General features: G+C 38.0%; 1 protein-coding gene across 10 annotated transcripts in view; it reads left to right on the top strand.

The window, feature by feature from the left end:
• Positions 1 to 20,991, top strand: part of FAT3 (FAT atypical cadherin 3) — a 671,656-nt gene that overhangs the window by 78,657 nt on the left and 572,008 nt on the right. The window contains exon 2 of one of the 10 annotated variants that reach the window (XM_017017179.3): positions 6,130 to 6,351. The exons of 8 other annotated variants lie outside the window; for them this stretch is intronic. The gene's annotated coding sequence lies outside the window, so the exon portion shown is untranslated. Of the gene's footprint in view, positions 1 to 5,830; positions 6,352 to 20,991 lie in introns of those variants that run through there. One more of the 10 variants, XM_047426353.1, reaches the window with a different exon arrangement.

Below are 20,991 nucleotides of genomic sequence, written 5' to 3' on the forward strand. Positions count from 1 at the left end.
CCTAGATATGTAACACATTGAAAGACTGACTAATCCAGTCTTGATCACTTAAGGATTTGAGGAGTCGAGTCCTGCACTTTCAACCAAGTGTCAGGCATTGCTTCAGTATTTAGCTCTTCTTGAGTCTAGAAGGTCTTTGAGATTCTGGCCATAAAAATGAACTTAAGAGCAATAAATGTATTGTTGTAGCTTAAAGTTCCAGGAGCACAGCTTAGGTGCTGAACTATCTTTTAAATTTTTTCCTTTGTGAAATGTTTGTAGCTTGGGATGGCTAGTCAGAGGAACAATGGTGTTATAAAAGAGGTGGGTTAGATTCGCCTCACCACCTGATCATTTCATTTTGGATGAAAATTTAGCAGCTGACATTGCAAACCTTGAGAAAGTGTTGACTGCCTATTCAAATGTAGTTTAGAGGGTTTTAGATTCTGATAGTAATAAGTGCAGAACCTTTTTTTCGCAATTGTGTGGTTACAAAAAGATTTCAGTTGATGGCCCATGAGATTTGACAACATATTCTGTTTGATATTTTAACGGTTTGAAAAAGGAGTTTTAGAATATGTATCTGGAAACTGTGTAATGCAGTTTTCAATCTACTGTGTAACCTTTCCATTACAAGACTTTTTCCCTCTTAATCCTGTCCAGTGGATTTCTGGTCCTCTGAGGAGTGTGCCTCAGTACACCTCTCCATGAGTGCTTAGGAAGGGCTTTAGGTGGCTCCTTTGTGGCCTCCAGCTTTCATTCTGCATAATGCATCAGGGTTCCTCCTGGGTCTGCATCTTACTTCCTGGAGTGGTTTCTCTGGGAAGTAATTGACTCAATGTATTGCTTCTTAGTCTTCCCCTTGCTCTTTATGGCAGGGTCTGATTGATACAGGTATAAACATCAGGGCTAGCAGCTGCTTTACAGTTTCAGGGAGGGATAACTGATGAAGACTTGTCCATTAGTTGGGAGTTGGGAAAGCCCCTGTTTTGGTAGCAGTGTGGTCATCTCCTCTGGAATGAATACTCATCCTTCCTCTCACAGAATCTCCTCTTGCTTGAGTTTATTGGCATTCATGTGATTTGCATGACAAATTTCGGTCTAATAGCTTATACTCAAACCACCTCTGCAGTTGTCTGTCAGTTGTTTGTAGATGTGAAGAGGCAAAAATGACTGGTCTCTGGGTCCTGTTCTAACTGGAAGGGCATTCTTTGATGTGTGAAAGTTAAGAGGACAACTTACACCTGGAATTCACGAAACTAGATCCTGCATTGACCTGGAGGAGGTGAGGTGAGACAGGGCACAAATGAAGCACAGGCATGGGGTCCAAGAATAAATGGGGAGCTGGTGGTAAGCAGGTGTGAGGTCTGGATTGTGGACCATCCTATGGGTCCTTTTGGGAGGGACAGTTGCATCATGCTGGGTGAGGATGATCCTTTAAATGGGTCAGACCAACCCAGGCATGAAAACTAAATGCTAAATTCTTTCTGAATTCAATTCTGGACCAGAACAAGGACATAAATGAGACCTGCTGGATATGTCTCCTTAATAGACATTTGTAACAAAAGTCACCCATTTGCTTCAAAGTTCTCTCATTATAAGCCATAGTTGCTGTTGGGAAGCTGATGCCATTTCTCAGTCCTCTCTTTGCTTCTGCCCTCCCCTTTGTTGCAGTAGATCTGCTGAAGAATCTTGAAATGCCAGCAGAAGGTTGAAAGGGAAGACCTTGGAGTTTTCACATTCTCAAAAAATAGGTGGCACTGAGAGGTCTTATTTTATAGATAAACCAGCTATGTTGGTTTCAGAGTAATTCAATTTTCATAGTTGTTTTTCTTTTAAAAGTCCCTATTCTAGAAGGTACACACCCTCCTTACCGTAGAATTCTAGTTAATAAATGTAGAAGAAAAGATGGGAAATGGAAAAGCACCATTTGGTAAACACCACGGCAATAATTGTTGCAAGCAAGAATCATCAATGGATGCTGAAAATAGTAGGTGAAAAGTATGATGAAACAGGATATTTACTTAGTCCCAAAGTATCTCCCCACAAGAAATTTATAAGCTAAAAGGAGAAAATAGTGGTTTTAAGGTGGAAAACCTAGCAAACACCAGCTTAAACAAGTGATCAAAGTTAGTATCATCAGCACTAATACATATCAATATTGTATACCTCTTGATATGATACAGGTGAAAGAACATCACTTCTATGGTATTCGTCCCAAAATGCACACCACAAACTAATAGTGAGGTGATATCAGATAAACCCAAATAGAAAGTCAGTCTGCAAAATTGCCAGCTAATACTCTTCAAATGTCAAGGTCACGGAAGACAAAGACAGACTAAGGAAATGTCCCGGATTGGAGGGGACTTAGTAGAAATGGCATCTAAATTCAGTGTGAGTTCCTGAATTGAATTCTAGACCAGCAGAAGGACATAAATGGAACAATTGGTAAAATTGAGTAGTCTGTTAACTAGTTAAGATTATAGTATCAATGTTAATTTCCTATCATTGTTATGTAGTTACGTAAAATGTTAATATCTGGAAAAGCTGAGTAAAGGGTATGTGGAAACTCTTTGAACAAATTTTTCAACTTTCAGTTTTTTTTGTAAATTTGAAATTATTTTTAAAAAGCAAATGTCTTTTTAGGAGATATTATGCTTTATTGAATTAATGGATTCATTAACTCCTTCATGCCCTGTCTATGTATAGCTAGTTACCCTTCTAAGAAAATGAAAGCCTGTGATAGATTTCCCTTTGCTGGTATCATTTTACTTCAATATTTAGACTAAATGTTTTTAGCTTCTCTAGGTGACTATCTCCTCCCATTACTACCAATGAGAAAATATATTCACAAATCTACTGTGGAATACTGGGGGTGCTCTTAGTAGAGTCCATAGTGGTGCTCTTAGTAGAGTCCTAGTGAAAGTAGAGGCCTATTTACTGTAAAGTTTTTGTAGCTTCAGTTTTAGTACCCTTCCCCCCATGAGCTTTTTCCAAGGCTCTCCACTTTATATATATATAAACTTATATATATATTTATATTATATATGTTATATATATTTATATTATATATGTTATATATATTTATATTATATATGTTATATATATTTATATTATATATTATATATATTTATATTATATATATTATATATTTATATTATATATTTATATTATATTTATATTATATATATTATATATATTATATATATATAAAGTGGAGAGCCTTGGAAGAGCCTTGGAAGAGGCTCATAAATATATATATTTATATATTATATATATATTTATATATAAATATATATAAATATATATATAAATAAATTATATATATATAAATTATATATATATAAATTTGAGATGAGTCTTGCTCTATTGCCCTTGCACTGCTGGAAGGCAGTGGTGTGATCATAGCTCACTGCATTTTCAGATTCCTGGGCTTAAGTGATTCTGCCTCCTTAGCCTCCTGAGTAGCTGGGACTACAGACCTGTGCCACCATGTCCGGCTATTTTTTTTTTAATTTTATTTGTAGTAGAGACAGTTTCTCTATGTTGCCCAGGCTGATCTCCAACTCTTGGGGTCAAGTTATCCTCCAACCTCAGCCTCCCAAAGTGCTGAGATTACAGACATGAGCCACTGTGCCTGGCTTTCCACTTAAGTATGAATTCATAAAGTTATATACTTAAAGGGAGTCCTCCACATGGAATCAGCTTCAGGCCCCCACCCCCACCCCATACCTGGATCTGTTCCTGCTTAATGGGAATACTTTGCCTGAGGCAGTTCCATACAAGATAACACAGCCCGTTTACATCCTGGCTCATTTTCAAAACAGCACAGAAGAAAACAACATCATGTTGAAGCTGGAATAGAATATTTCAAAAGTTTTCCTTTGTTTAATTTGGCTCACTACCTGGCTAGGCAGACATGCAATCAAATGAAACAAAAGTAAATGCAAATGGAAAGCATTCTTGTATGCAGACTGAAATTGAGCACATTTAGTCAGAAGATCAGATTTGCCTCATCCACAAGATCACTGTCCAGAGGAATACCCTTTGGTTACTTGGAAGTGTCATTGCTTAGACTTTGCCTTGAAGCTGCAGCTGTAAACAGCATCTAATACTTGGAACCATTGCTCCCAGCCCCTGCCACCAGTTCATCCCGCTTCATTGTATCTCTCAGATAAGCTCACAGCCCAAGGTTCTTCAACCTTGTACAAGACCTCACAAGAAGAGGCAAATTTTGCATATGTAGAAATCTGTGTTAAATAAAATACAGGATCAAGCCAAGGAGCATGAAATTTGGAGTTGGTGCTGACAGCCCCTCATTCCTGTCACTTATTAATTTTATTTCCCTCCTCAGCTTGTGTCATTGCCTAAAAATTATTTAAACACAGGTTTTCATATGCTGTGATTTAACTCTTTATAACCTTTAGTACCACATGGGAATTAGTAATCTCTTTCTTTATGAACATTTTTATTGAGCTTATTCTTATGGAAATTTGATCTTTAGTAATTTTATCAGAGGGATTTTTTTTTTCTTTTAACCAGATGTAAACCTAGCTCTAGTAGCCCTGAACTTAACAGCAACATTTTTTCCTGGTCACACAATTCTGAAATCAGAGGATTAGTAGTACAATATAAGAAACATGGCACTCACTTTGAAGTTGTCTTCCAGGTTTTCACAGGAGTGTGTGTGTATGTGAGTGTGTGTGCATGTGCCACATGAATGCGTGTGCTTTTTGGAAAGTTTTATTGCCATCTCTTTCTTTCACAGGTTGTTTGATTATCTGTGTTTTCAGAGTAAGCAGAGAACAGAATGTAGAAGTTGTTTGAAATTACAAATTAAACTAGTTGCACTAGGAATAAAATATTAGTGAATGAAGAGTTTGTTGGGAAAGCCTCACATGAGAATGGTTTCTTTTTTTAATTAATGAAATGCTGAAATATACCAATACTGCTTTGGATGTTGTTTTATCTCTGGGCTATGAAGAAAACCAGTTGTTTGATTGTGAAATGAAATCAAAACCAGAGAAAAAAATACTATTTTTAAGGAAGACTTACTATGAAAGTTATTGTGCAAACTAAGTCCTGTTTACCACAGGTTAGCTAACATGTATATGAGTCAATCATTTGCCAAAACACTAGAATTGTGTTATGAAGAACCTAGCAATCATTAGAGCCCCTTGTGAGTTAAGCCCAGAAAACCTCATGTGTGGAACAGCCCTCTGGTCATCAAATATCTGAGGATACAGAAGAGATTATTTAATTGACTTCAAAACTTTATTAGACCTAATGTTCTTAAATATGTTCAGCCAAGTCATGCCCTCTGTATCCTTTCTTAATGTCTTAAATGTGTGTGGCTTCTCTGCCCCACCCTCCCAATTTGGCTGTCAGTCTACAAAGGAAATAAAAAAAAAATAGCAGACCCAGTTTCCAGGCTGTTTTGTTTTATGGAGATGCTAAAAGGCAGCTTATTTCATATTGATCATACCAGGGAACTAGCCAAGTATGGTGTTAATTGGGTCCTCTGGAATTCTACGCCCCCGGGACCAAAAGCTTTCTAGTAAGGAGGGGAATAAACCCACAGGCTGCATAAAAATGAAATCCAGGAGCCCACCATGTCCCGATTGCTGATTACTGGTGATTTGGCCAGCTCGTTTTGTATCCAGTTGCTTATTTCAATTAGCTTGTTTTGTGTTATGTTTCCCCACACCCCCCTTTCCTGCAAAGCTGTGAAGCCTTGTTTTGAAAACTGCTGCCCCAGAGTGCACCGGCTTGGCGGTCCTGTCCTCATTGTTCTAATGCTCATTCCATATGTGGGTCACATCCTAGAGCTCTCCCCCCAGCCCTCCCCCTCACTTCTCCAGCCATCTCTCCTTCCCTTCCCTGTCCATACATTGGTGCTTGCACTCTCGCACTCTTTTACACACACGCATGCACACACACACACACACACACACACACACACACACTTTTCTCCTAAGAGGCAGAGGTAGGGCAGATTCTTCAGGAGCTTGCAAGTAGGATCGTTCAAACTTAAAACGCTGGTTGCTGTGCATTTAGTTTATGGCAAACACTTCACCTTCGGGAAAGTAATTATTCTGCTCCTCTCCCTGTTTCTTTCCCACCCCTTCCCTTTTCTCCTCTCTTCTTCAGGACAAAGGTTTTTAAGAAACTGAGATTGCCACTTCGTGAGGCCCTTCTTGTTACCCTGGTAGCTGGTATCTCAGACAGTGAATGAAGGATGGATCAGACAGGCTGGAGTTTTGATGCACAGTTCTTTGGGTACTGCAGGAGGAGCCCACTGAGAAATGTGCATGGCGGGCATGCCTGCTGAGTTTATTATGCTGGTTATCTGTCACTTACTCTGACTAAAAGGTAAGGGCTTCTGTAATTTGTTGCTGCAAAGAATTGGTACATTGTTCTCTTTCTAAGGCTTCCAACTAATTGGCTCTTGAGGGAAGATTGGAATGAGAGTTAGTGCTCGACTTCTGTAGCTTCTCCTGTTAGATCTCTGTTTTTTTTTTTTTAATATGTGAAGGAAAAATAACCTTGGCAATTTTTTGACTATTGGTGGAATGTCTATTCACTTGTTTTCAAAGAAAAACAACAAAAAACACCCTTTGATTCATGATGTTTATTTTAATTTAAAACTTTTCCTGGACTAGTAAAGAAATGTAGTGTATGTGTAGTCAATCTTTTCAATGATTTCTGTAAACTGTGGGAATAGGAGTTGTGATCTTATCCCAAGATAAGAATATTTTACTTTAACAGATTGCATTTTTACCGATTGAAAATTACAGTGCATTTTATTTAGTAATCAGAGTGAGGAAAGTTAGAGACTATTTAAATGAAGTACAATAGTAACATTTACATTAATTGGTCAGTTACTGTAGTGTGGGAATACACATGTTGATAAATATACATTACTAATTATGCTTCTTGTTTTCTGTATACTTAGAGGAAAGTTTTGTGTCTGTGCAGAATTGAAATATGTACTGAACCACAGGCAAAAGAATCTTAGTAATAAGAATTTTAGCAAAAGAATCTTAGTAGTAAGTACTTAGAAAACTATATAAATTTTTTATTTGTATAAATTTAAGAGATGCAAGTGTAGTTTTGTTACATGGATATAATGTGTATTGGTGAACTGTCAGCTTTTAGTGTATTCATTACCTGAAAAGTATGTGTGTATATACGTGTGTGTGTATATATATATGTGTATGTTTGTATATGTATATACATGTATATACACATATAAGTTTCTGTAGTTGACGGGTAACACATGACCTGAAAATAACCTTTTTAAAGTTTCCACGACAATATTTATTTGACATGCTAAGCATTTTTTCTGTATCATGACGAGTAGTTTCATGGATAAATTTAGGTAATAGCTATTGGAAATCATCTGATGCCACCAAGCAACTGTCTTGCAAGACCAGAGATGTTTTGAGCGTAGGGTACAACCAGATTTTTTTCCATTCTTTTTACTTTTATTTTTAAATTTTTATTTAAAAAACTTTTTTTGAGATGGAATCTCAGTCTTATATGTGTATGTATATATATACACATATATGTATATATATACATACACATATATATACACACACATATATGTGTACATATACACACACACATATATGTATATATCTTAAGGTTATGCTTTTAATCTGTCCTACTTAAAGTAATTAAAACTAGACTATCAGTTGATTGTTATCTCTCGGAAAAATGTACCTTTGGTTAAGAATCATTTCAAAAACAGATTGCCCATCACTATGGAATTTATGCAGTTGGAAACCAACTGAGCTTTATTGAAAAAAATGATTACGTCTTATTTTCTTAAGCACTAGTGATTTACAAGGACCGTTTGGTAGTAGCATAGGATGTATTTTATTGGGGACGGAGATCCCTTTAATGATATTTTCTTTATGGCTGCTGTACAACACTTGTGATGTGTGTTACAGTCTATCTCTATTTATCACTCTGTCTCATGAGCCATAAATGAAGGAAAGGTATATGTTGGGATACCCAATTTAAGTCACCTTATTTTATTTATTACGTTATAGAATTTGCTCCAAAGAGCATGTGGGAAGTGTTTTCTTCAAAAGGAAATATTGATGCATCCACTTAAACAACCTAGGGATATCAGCAAAACAAACTGGGTTTCTTTCATGTTAGACTTTGAGAAGAGACAAGAAGCAATCTGGGTGAAAGGAGGACACTATCAGTAAAAGAGAAGACTGTAATTTTCTTGACCTTGGCTCAAAGGTTTCTGTCAAGACTGCTGGAGGTTGAATAGGTAGAGTAGGGCCCAGATTTAAAGCTGGTGTCTCTCCCACACCTAACCCTCATCCCAGTCCCTCACTGTCCAGTGTCTTTGTCATTCAGTCTCCCCTGGTTTAATGTGTCAGCAGGAGGGCTTTATCTTCTTTTCAAAATCAAAAGGAGATGGCCCAGTGTGGCTCCTACATACCCATGAAAACCTTAAACATTTCCCCTTCCACATTTTATCCCAATCATCTACATTGAGTAAAAATAAACAAGGAAAAAAAAAACAAATACTTCGCCTTCATAATCAATTTTTCTTCTCTTCCAAGTTTTCGAACTTTGTTACTTAAAATGTCAACTGTATATATCCCTTACATAAAGCATAACAGTCTTAGGATACCTTTTCAGGTACAAAATCAGTGACTCTCAACCTGGGCGTATTCAAAGGACTCCCTTGTGGAGTGTTTGAATAATGCAGGCTCCAGCTACTGCCTACAGGAATTCGTGATTCTGTAGTCTTCATTAGTGCTTGGTATATGGGAGTTGTTTAGTAATAGTCACAGAATGTTACACAGTGAAATGTTTTCGCAGTAGTCTGACAGGACAGTGGATAAGTGCATTGCAAAATCTTTTCTGCTTCCTCTTTAGTTGAATTTGGAGAAGGGAAATTCCCTCCCTCTATTCTTCCTACATGTATATTAAGGAAAATGGGGCTTCTTTTGCAGAGGTTTCCAAGCCTCTGAAAGTAGATGAATCACCCTTAAAAGGCTAATAGGTCCCGCTAATCATTTTGCACCACACAAAACAAATAGTGACTTCTGTATCAGTAATACTAGTAAACAGCTGTCCTAGAAATGACTGTGAACATTAGTCCTAGGGCTCTCACAAACCTCAAAGTGATATATGGAGAGAACCCAGCAAATTGAAAACATTCTCTTTTTGTGAGTATATTTTAGGTGTATCTTGTCACTTGAGCCAGTAGGAGCGTGCTTCTTGGATAATAATATGGGTTTCCCAAACAACTCTTGAAGCACCTAGATCCATACATGTCGGATGCAAAACCATATCCATGGACCTGGAACTGGGCTGTGACCTAAGTGCTTGTTTTTCCCATCAAAGCGTCTTTCCTTTGGTACCTTCGCTAGTTTAGACTGGGTCTTGAAAATTTGTTAGTTTCCCTGAAGCTATACGGGCAAATTCTGGGGAAAACAAAACAAAACAAAACTCAAACAACATGCTGATATCTTAATATTATCTGTAATATGAGGACTTGAATTATGATAGCTGTTCTTTAAGTACTTCCCAGCTTTCTAATCTCTAAATTTTAATCTTTATGACTATAATCAATTCTTAGTAAAGTCAGTTCTGCTATCACACTTGTTTTGAAAAGGCAAATTTGTTCCAAAGCAATTGATATATTCAAGACAAGCATAAAACAAATGCTGTATTTGCTTATGTGTGATTTCCTCCCAGAGAAACACTAGGTAAATGCAGAAACTGTAGCCAGCTGAATGCCACATAGGAAAACCAAAAATGCACCCATGTTTTAGGAGCCCCACCCATCCACATCTGGGACTACCAACTTTCTGTCTGATTTCAGAATGCCCTTCTTCCACCACTTCACAATAACCCACAAGCCTCATTCCTTAACCACATTCACTTCCACAGTAAATCCCAGTTTTTTAATGTGATAATATGCCATGTTTATTGTTGTATTTGTATATTTCTCAACAATTTAACACATATAAAACTGTGCTACCATTTTTATTATGTTTCTGCTTCTTTTTAATGTGTTACTGACAATGTTTTTGATTGTTGTACCTCAAACCCATTTTTTGTTTTGTTTTGTTTTGTTTCGTTTTGAGACAGACTCTCACCCTGTCGCCCAGGCTAGAGTGCAGTGGTGCAATCTTGGCTCACTGCAACCTCCGCCTCCTGGGTTCAAGCAGTTCTCCTGCCTCAGCCTCCTGAGTAGCTTGGATTACAGGCATGCGCCAACATGCCTGGCTAATTTTTGTATTTTTAGTAGAGACGGGGTTTCACCATGTTGGTCAGGCCGGTCTTGAACTCCTGACCTAGTGATCTGCCGACCTCGGCCTCCCAAAGTGCTGGGATGACAGGCATGGGCCACCGCACCCGGCCTCAAACCTAATTTTTCCAGTAAGCCACTTGGTTTTTACTGTGCGATTTTGCAGAGCACAAAGAATTTCAGCAACACATACATTCTACTGGAGCAGAACTGACTGTATGGATTTTGATATGATAAAATTCTCAGAGGCTAAGTGCCAAGGATATTTTGCATGCTGTAGCATTGTTTGTTATGAATGTGGTCAACTTAGCCTGTTTTCTCCTACTGTATATTTTTTCAATGACTCTATAGAACTGCCTCAGAAAAACCATTTATCAAACCTTCAAACTTCAGGGAAAGTTGTGTGACATTCTCAAAAGTGAAGACTACAAAAGATGATTAGATACTTGGTCCAATCCTAGGAATGAAGTTTTGTGGTTTTGGCTAATTAATAATTAAGGTCATTGGATCATTTGATTTTTAACAGATTCTAAGGTTCAGATGAGAACATGGAGATGTATTTCTTCAGGTATGCAACTTAAACAAATACAAATTTGATAATTTTTACATTTGTAAAAAAACATATGAAGCCCCTCATTGCATGAAACAAGGAAAATGCTGGACTGGTTTGGTAGAAGGGAAAGAGAATTTTAATCTCCCGAAGCAGTAGAGGGGTAAGTATATACTGTAGGCTTTTTTGTTTGCTTTTATTGTCTGCTTATTGTGGGTCTGGAAATTGGAGTTTGGGTTTTTGTTTCTGATTCTCCTCAGGGTTCTGACTTTTGGCCACAAGCAGTTACAGGCTGCCAGTACTCTGAGTATCCTCTTGCCACTTCCTGCTGGGCTAATGTTTATTTCACCACTGAACTTGCCTTCCAGAACTTTGCAGAAATTCTCTAGGGAACTGAATGTCCCAAGACCTGAGTTTGAAGCCAGAATTGGGACCCTGGAGTTGTCCTAAGGCTCGTTTTTAGCTGTGTTATCTTGCAAACTACAGGGCCAAGCTTTTTTACCCTCAGTTGCCAAGTGGAGCTCTCCTCCCACTCCTTCACTAGAACTTTTCCTTTTAAAGTAGAACCATTTGAAACCTTTCTGGGCACAGCAGTGATAGTGAGGGAAGGTCACATGATCATGCTTTGAACTTGGCTGCTTGGGTGTGTAGCATGGTGCCTTGGGTATGTGGCATGGTACCTGGGTATGTCAGCTCAAGACTTTTTTACTCCTAAATATACATACAGCAGTTTAATTACAACCTTCACGGGCTTCTGGTTGAAGAGAGGAAACATAAGAAACATTGATACTGAAATACACAAACAAGTTGGCAAGGAGAATAAAAATGATAATCCTGTGAATAACCTTGAGATTTTCCTAAGCAGATCTTCAAGCTGACATGATCAGGGTCCTTCTATAGCACATCAGGTGTTAAAAATGTAAAAAACAGTGCCTACTAGATCCAATTTGGCTCTTTATTTACTGAGATTAAAAATTATTCATACTCACTCTATGGTTATTTGTTGAGAGACACTTGCAAATCAAAGCCTGAAACCATGAAAATTACAAAACAAAAGTAAGTTTTTTGAGGACATGATGCAAACATTCCACTATAAGGTCACAAAGTTTACTGTTAACACAATATTGGTTAGTCAAACCTCAGTGTGTGTGTGTATATATATGTGTGTGTGTGTGTGTGTGTGTGTATATATATATATATATATATATATATATATATAGAGAGAGAGAGAGAGAGAGAGAGAGAGAGAGAGAGAGAGAGACTGTGTTGCCCAGGCTGGAGTGCAGTGGCACGATATCAGCTCATTGCAACCACTGCCTTTTAGGCTCAAGTGATCCTCCCGCCTCAGCCTCCCGAGTAGCGGGGACTACAGACATGCATCACCACACCTGGATAATTTTTGTTTTTCATAGAGACAGGGTTTCTCCATGTTGCCCAGGCTGGTGTCAAACTTCCGGTCTCAAGTGATCCACCCACCTTGGCCTCCCAAAGTGCCAGGATTATAGACGTGAGCCACCATGCCTGATCCAATCATAATTTTTAAATAAAATAAATTTAAAGTAAATTGAACAGCATATATTACTTATTCAAAGGGGAAAGGTTGAAATTTGTCTTCATACATAATGAATATTATTAAAATTGTATTAAATGAACTTTCTGATAAAATCTTTAATAATGCATTGATCTCAAGTGAAATGCTTTATTTTAAATCTCTTATATACCATGCAAAAATGATGAAATCATTAAAAGATTTCCTAAGGGATTTCCAGTGATTATATGTTTTGGTGAAAAAAAGGATTCAAAAGTAAAAAATGAATAGAAAATACTAGGCTCAAATATCACCCAGGTCCTCTGTGGAGTCTACAGCTCTGACATGCCTTGAGCCAAGCAGAACTAGGGATAAAAAGAGAAATAGGGGGACCAGCTTACTTTGGAAGTGTAAAAAAGACACTCCACTTGAAGCGCAGTAAATACAGAAGGTTTCCTTTCACTGAAAAGGAGTGAGATTTCAGTACTCAGACGCAATCTGTGCCCTAAGATAACATGCTTGTTGGCAGGAGTATAACTGTTGGTTGTTGAAGAAATATATACAAAATGCATATTTAACAGTTGCTTTGATTAAAAAAAACTAATCTACGAGTCTGTTTTTGTATTGACAATGGTTCTCCTAATGGCATGCCAAAAATATACCCCCAGCTATCCATGCTTAACAAGTTGAATTGGAGATGGATTACCTCTTGAGTACTCTACAATTGACTGCTTCCGTTAGTCTTGGCAAATTATACAGCCAAATTGTCTATCTATTTTCTAATATGTCAGCAAAATTAAGCTGAAAAATGCATACAAGAATAAATTGCTGCTGGAATTGCATGATGCCCACCTTTTCTTTGTGTTGAGGAAAAAAAAATGATTAAATCACACTTTGGAATCATTCTATTTCAATCAACTCTATTTAGATCCTAGGTCTGGTTTAGGGAAGGTCTGTGAGACCTTTAGCTGCTGGGTATTGAGCTCAGTAAACTATTTAATAGCCACATTGTAGCTTTCAGTCAATGATTTTCCACATTCCAATCTTTCTCCACTTTGGAGCCAGCCTTTTTGGGAAAACGGAGACCCATGGTTTCATTTCAACAAAGAAGGAATAACCAATCATGGAACATATTGGCTGTGCCACCAAGGAGGTGGCAGATGAGGATTTGGGGACTTCAGGACTGATGATTCTGAATCTTGACATGTTATTAGACTCATTGCAATATGGCCAAAATTTTGAGTATCCTGGTTACTCAAGGCTACAGGCAAGAATTATTTTGAGTGCAGCTGTCAGAATTAAAAATAAAGGAAAGACTGAATGAATGAATGAATGAAGAAAACCAGGACATGGATGATTAAAATATTTCTCTTCTCTCCCTGCAAACATGTGGACAGGGAGATTCCATGTAAACTCTTTCTCTCTTTTAATCATATTCTTTTGTTCTAAGGAATATTTAGATTATTTTTTCTCCAGTGGAAGTTCTTTCAGTTTTACTTACTACAGCTCAGTGATTGCAGATTGCTAATTTTGCTTGAAAACCAAAGGATTTGGTTGTTTTCACTTCATTAGCATCAGAAAGGGGGATTGGCTAAAGTGCTGGCCAAGGTAGCCTTGCAGAAGGAGGCAGGGTTGGTTTGGTAGGGAGAAAAGATTGTTCTTTGGAAATGTATAGAACTGGCTGTGCAAAAAATAAATAAAGCCATTCTCTAAGGTATTGCTGAATATCAAGTTCTCTTTGCTGGGTTGGAGTGAAGTCTATTGCAGGTATCTATGGCTTTTTCATGGTTGTCAGTAAGTGTATGCCGGAGACTAAATAGTGATGCCTGGTGCTTTTTTAGCACTAATAACTTTTACAAAGGTGTTTTCTACCTCCAAACTCCTAGAATTACATAATGTGTAGGAGACATAGGGGAAGGAAGAGTTCTGGCCAGGATCAAAGTGGGGGCACTGGTGTAATCATTATTCTGAACCTGCTGGTCTTGAGCAGTTTTCCCCAAAGTGGCCTCAGCCCTATCAAGCTTTGAAATATAGTGCCTTGATGCTAATAGTCGTTATTTTTTTGTTTGCATTTATTCAGTACAAAAGTCTCCAGCTGTGATGGAACTTTGCCCACAGTGACAGGAGGGAGTTATTCTCAATCTTCTGCCACTTCTAGGTTGCTTTTTCTTTAGCAGAAATCATATGTCTTCACTCTGAAATTATATGTCTTTACTCTGAAAATATTTTGTAAAGTACTTCGTAAAGTATTTTGTAAAGTACTTTGCAGACTCCAACTCCATGGTGTAGAGGAGACACCATATCATAGTGTGGATTTCTAGAAAGGAGTAGACTGAGATATAGACAGGTGATGTAGCAGCCTTGATATCCTATCCCATAGAGACCTAGTGGTGAAGCAGGAAGCAATCAGCTTCACACTATTTGGAGAAGAGGAAAAGTTGTGATTTTCCTCTTCTGTGGGAAAAGACCCCCACAAAAGAAGATAGGACCATTTGTGCCTCCAATTTCTTTTTTCACGTAGTCATTTCAAAGCATTCTCTCATTTTTGTAGCTCATACAGTTCTGGGGGTTAGCAATGGCAGTATGTTTTGAAAATAAATGATACTCAGAAGGGAGAGGTAATAGGGAGAGTTCTAATTCCGTGAGATTTGTACTGTAAAGTATGTATGGTTCTAGCACCAGAATCCTCCTCCTTTTCAGATTATTTAGCCCTAATTACTTATTTCCCCTTTGCTTCCTAAACTCCTAGGAGATAAACTCCTTGAAGAAAAACTCCAGCTTATGGAAATAAATATTTTTGCTCAGAGAACACAGGAATCATAATTTTTTGGAATTGAAATACCCATAAGAGTAAAAGCATTGTTTTTCTTAAATATATTCAATACTACTGGCCAATCCAGAGGTCTTTCCTGAATTAACACAAACATTAAAAAGTTGAAGTTTAATGCTTGGGGAAGATACCAGGAGAACTGGTAGGCACAAATCTTGCTTTGAGACACTGGCCAAGGAGGGTGTTTTGGTAGATGGTACAGGCAGACCCTATGACACGAATGCTGGATTCTGCAACTGCATGTGCTGAGTGCAGCAAAGAGTCCATGTGCTGAATGTGGAATTCACTCATTCATTTGTTCTCAACTATTTATGGAGCATATTCTATGTGCAATAAACACAACAAACATCCTCTTCTCATGGAACCTTCTCGTGGGAGAGCTTTGATCAGTTGCTTATATGCATGCACTCATACACAATCTAAACAACAACAACAACAATAACAAAAAGCCCAGGTGATTATTGGACATCTCTATGAAAGGCACTGGGCAATAAAATGGCAAGCAAGAATCTTTTCCCCTAGAGTAATCAGCGTGTTTCACAATTAAGAGGTAAAATATCATAAAAGTCTTCCCCTACGTTTGTGTGTGGTTTTCTTTCGTTGTTCAAGTTGATCGGGATATAATTGGTTGATACTCTTGAATAAGTCAAGGTTGCAAGCAGTGGACAATATGTGTTCAACACTGAATGATGGGAAAAATACAAAGTGGTAGAATTCATATAACACTGAATGATAGGAAAAATACAAAGTGGTAGAATTCAAACATTTTTTGGTAGCCCAAGATTTAAGGCAACAATAAACCATTGTTTCTTCAACTCATGTTTTAAAAAGTCATTATAAACTACTTTAATCTCTCTGTGTGTTCAGTAAGTATAATAGTGTGAATATTCCTTCCATCAGCGCCAACAACATTGATGCATCTTATGTCCTGTGCAAAGTGTTGCTGATAGAAAAATGGGTGAGACATAGTTCCTACCCTTAAGGAGAATATAATATTGAGGATTTGAAATATTACGAGAATCTGCTTCTAAAAGTAATTTTTTCTTATACAGTTTTGTAGATGCATGTTTAGGAGATAAGGAAAACTGAGCTATGAATATAAAGTACCCAGTATAAACACAGGCAATCCTCTTGCCATTTCTAATCAAGTATATATAAAAATGACATTCTGAGAATGCTTGTACTAGTGTTTTTCAAACTGTATTCAGTGAAAACATGTTAATAGTTATGGGAGAGGAGTAGGGATGAGGAAGACAGAGGGAGTTTTTATGGTCAAATCAGTTTGTCAAACACGGGTAAAGGAAGTAAGCAAGTTTTTCTTATGCATGCTTCTCCCAAAACTTTAATTTGCTAGTGTGCATTGTGACACTCCAGGATGGGTTATTGCAGTAGTTCCCAAATTTAGCATCATAATCACAAAGTCCTGGGCTCCAGAGATTCACTGAAACAAAACTCTGGCAGGTGAGAACTGGGGATTTTCATTTATTAGGTTGGTGCAAAAGTAATTGCGATTTTTGCAATGAGTAATGGCAAAAGCTGCAGTTACTTTTGCATCAGCCTAATAAAACACATTTGGGAGATTACTTTTAGGTAGTCTTAGTTACTTTTAGGCAGAGTCAGTTTATTTCAGCACTGGTCCCATGTACCATTGACATGCAGGAAGGAGCCCTCCCTGATTTGCATAACAGCAGAACATCGTTTATCCAAGAAATGCATATTGACATTTATGGAACTAACAGTTTGGAAATGCTGGCCCATGCATTCTTTTACCAAAGGCCTAAAGAAAAAAAAAATTATAGGTAACAAGTTCACTAGTTTGGGACTTAGAGTTAATGTATATTTTGTGTGTGGTGGTTAAGATAGCACTAAGGATCAAATTCATTTTTTTGAACCCACATTGATGGTAATTTATTATTTTTAAAGTGGTGCTTATGGCTGGGTGCAGTGGCTCACGCCTGTAATCCCAGCACTTTGGGAGGCCAAGGCAGGTAGGTCACCTGAGGTCAGGAGTTTGAGACCAGCCTGACCAACATGGTGAAACCCCATCTCTACTAAATACAAAAAAAAATTAGCTGGTCATGGTGGCACATACCTGCAATCCCAGGTACTTGAGAGGCTGAGGCAGGAGAATCACTTGAACCCAGGAGGCAGAGGTTGCAGTGAGCTGAGATTGCGCCATTGCACTCCAGCCTGGGCAATGGAGCGAAACTCCATCTCAAAAAAAAAAAGGGGGGGGTACTTATTTATAATGTCCTTAGACCATTTTCCCCCTTTTTTCAGCTAATATTCTCACACAGTTTGAATTTAATTTATAGTAAACTTTGCTTTGTTCTGTCACTTTCCTAGAGAACAATGCTTAAAGTTGTTGGATATATAAAACTCAAATTCCTAGAGATAGGAAATTGTATAATTAGGGTAAATTTGATAAGGTGTTGGCATGAAATAAGATAACTCTTTAAAGAGAGAAGAGAATGAAGGATCTTATTTATATAACTAATTCTTGGCCGGGCACGGTGGCTCACTCCTGTAATCCCAGCACTTTGGGAGGCCAAGGCAGGCGGATCATGAGGTCAGGAGATCGAGACCATCCTGGCTAACACGGTGAAACCCCATCTCTACTAAAAATACAAAAAAAATAGCCAGGCGTGGTGGCGGGTGCCTGTAGTCCCAGCTCCTTGGGAGGCTGAGGCAGGAGAATGGCGTGAACCCGAGAGGCGGAGCTTGCAGTGAGCCGAGATCGCGCCACTGCACTCCAGCCTGAGCAACAGGGCGAGACTCCGTCTCAAAAAAAAAAAAAAATTCTTGGTTGTTTTTAGGTCTGTACTCTAGATTATTAATTTATTATTCTGAGAGGGGTTACAGTGGCATAATTAAGATGATCTAATTAGACAAAAAAATTTACTGGTCCTGAAAACAGATCACTTTCCTGAGAAAAAAAGAAAAAAAAATTGGAAAAACCTTCAAAGAGGTTTGCCTTTCTCTTCATAAACACTATTATGCAGCATTTCAGAGCAAGCTACGGAGCTGGGCTTGGGCAGTTAAATCCTGACTTTGTGGTTTTGTGTAGACTTGGGGGTGCAGCTGTATCTTGAGTGGAGATAATAACCACTAATGGTAACCCCAGACACAGCTATTAGTGTCAGATTAAATCTAAATGCAACCTTCTTTTCCTTTTGAATATTCTCTTTGGTAAAATGTTTTTCGTAAACTCCTATTTGAGTCTCTGCTCACTTACTTTGTTTCAAGAGAGTATAAACCAGATCAGGGTGATTGTTCAAGTAAAAGTGACTGAGGCTCAATGCCATGAACATTGAGATTATAGGTGTATGAAAGGGCTTTGAAAATTTGTGTATAGTCATCATTGAAAACCTTGATTGCTGAAAATCAGACTCTGGTTAGATGTAGGCCTTGTCCTAAGGTCCAAGAAGAAAACATGAATGTAAGATAATGAAATACCACACCAATACAGCCCTACCTTGGAGATAGTGTGGGTTCAGGTCCAGACTACCACAATAAAGTGAAAATAGAAATAAAGCAAATCATGCAAAATTTTTGGTTTCCCAGTGCATATGAAAGTAAGGTTTACACTGTAACCTATTAAGAATACAATAACATTATGCCTTAAAAAATATACATACCTTAATTTAAAAATACTTTATTGCTAAAAAAAAATGCTAAGGGTCATCTGAGCCTTCAGTGAGTCACAATGTTTTTGCTGGTGGAAGGTCTTGCCTCGATGTTGATGGCTGCTGCTGACTAATCAGAGTGATGTTTTCTGAAGTTTGTGGTGGCAGAGGCAGTTTCCTAAAATAGGACAACAATGAAATTGTCCTCATTGACTCTTCCTTTCACGAAAGATTCCTCTGTAGCATGCGATGCTGTTTGATAGCATTTAACCTACAGCAGAACTTTCAAAATTGGAGTCAGTCCTCTCAAACTCTGCTGCTGCTTTATTAACCAAGTTTATGGAATACTCCTAAGTCATTTGTTCTCATTTCAACAAAGTTCACAGCATCTTCACCAGGAATAGATTATATCGGAAGAAATCACTTTCTTTGGTCATACTTGAGAAATAACTTCTCATCTGTTCAAGTTTTATCATAGATTGCAGCAACTCAGTTACATCTTCAGGTTCCACTTGTGATTCTAGTTCTCTCGCTGTTCCCACCACATCTGCCGTGACTTCCTCCTCTGAAGTCTTGAGCCCCTTAAAATCATCCATGAGGGTTACAATTAACTTTTTCCAAACTCCTGTTAATGTTGATATTTTGACCTCCCCCCAAGAATCACAAATCATCTTAATGACCTCTAGAATGATGATTTTTTTCTCCAAAATGTTTCAATTTACTTTACCAGATTCATCAGAGGAATCATTATATATGGCAACTATAGCCATTTGAAATGAATTTCTTAAATAGTAAGACTTGAAGTTGATCCATGGGCTGCATAGTGGATGTTGTGTTAGCAGGCATGAAAACAGCATTAATCTCCTTGTATATCTCCATCAGAGCTCTTGAGTGACCAGGTACATTGTTAATGAGCAGTAATATATATATACATATACATACATATATATATGTGTGTGTGTGTGTATGTGTGTGTATATATATATTTGAAACAGGGTCTTGCTCTGTCACCCAGTTTGGAGTGCAATGGCGTGATCATGGCTCACTGCAGCCTCCGCCTCCTAGGTTCAAGCAGTCCTCCCACCACAGACTCCCAAGTAACTGGGACAGAAGTGCATGTCACCATGCCTGGATAATTTTTTAATTTTTATTTTTGTAGAAACAGGATCTTTCTATGTTGCCCAGGCTGGTCTCAAACTCCTAAGTTCAAGTGATCCCCCCATGTTGACCTCCAAAAGTACTGGGATTATAGGCATAAGCCACTGCACCTGGCACAGTTAATACTTTTAAGGGAATCTTTTTTTTTCTTTTTTTTTTTTTTTTCTGAGCAGTAGGTCTCAACAATGAGCTTAAAATATTCAGTAAACTATGCTATAAACAGATGTGCTGTCACCCAGCCTTTGTTCTATCGACAGTGAACAAGCAGAGTAGATTTAGCATAATTCTTAAGGGCCCTAGATTTTCAGAATGGTAAATGATCAGTGGCTTCAGCTTAAAGTCACCAGCTGCATCAGCCCCTAACAAGAGAGTTAGCTTGTCTTTTGAAGCTTTGAAGTCTGGCGTTGACTGTTTTCTAGCTATGAAAGCTTCTTCTTTCAATAGAAGTCTGTTTTGCCTACAGATGAAACTGATTTTCAAATCAGTTGCTTCAGCGCTTGCTGCCTCATCTTGCACTGTTATGTTATAGAGATGGCTTCTTTTCCTAAACCTCATGAATCAACTTCTGCTAGCTTCGGACTTTTCTTATGCAGCTTCCTCAACTCTGTCAGCCTTCATAGAATTGAAGAAAGTTAGGGCCTTGCTCTGGATTAGACTTTGGCTTAAGGGAATGTTGTGGCTGGTTTGGTCTGCTGTTCAGACCACTAAAACCTTTTCCATATCAGCAATAAGGCTGTTTTGCTTTCTTATCATTCTTGTGTTCACCAAAGTAGCACTTATAATTTCCTGCAAGAATTTTTTCTTTTCAGTCACAACTTGGCTAATTGATGCAAGAGGCCTAGCTTTCAGCACATCTTGGCTTTCAACATGCCTTCCTTACTAAGCTTAATCATTTCTAGCTTTTGATTTAAAATGAGAGATGTGTGACTCTTCCTTTCACTTGAACACTTAGAGGACATTGTAGGGTTATTAATTGGCTGAATTTCAATATTGCCATGTGTCAGGGAATAGGGAGGCCCGAGGAGAGGG

The sequence above is a fragment of the Homo sapiens genome, chromosome 11, assembly GCF_000001405.40.
Source record: "Homo sapiens chromosome 11, GRCh38.p14 Primary Assembly".
Taxonomy (NCBI): Eukaryota; Metazoa; Chordata; class Mammalia; order Primates; family Hominidae; genus Homo; species Homo sapiens.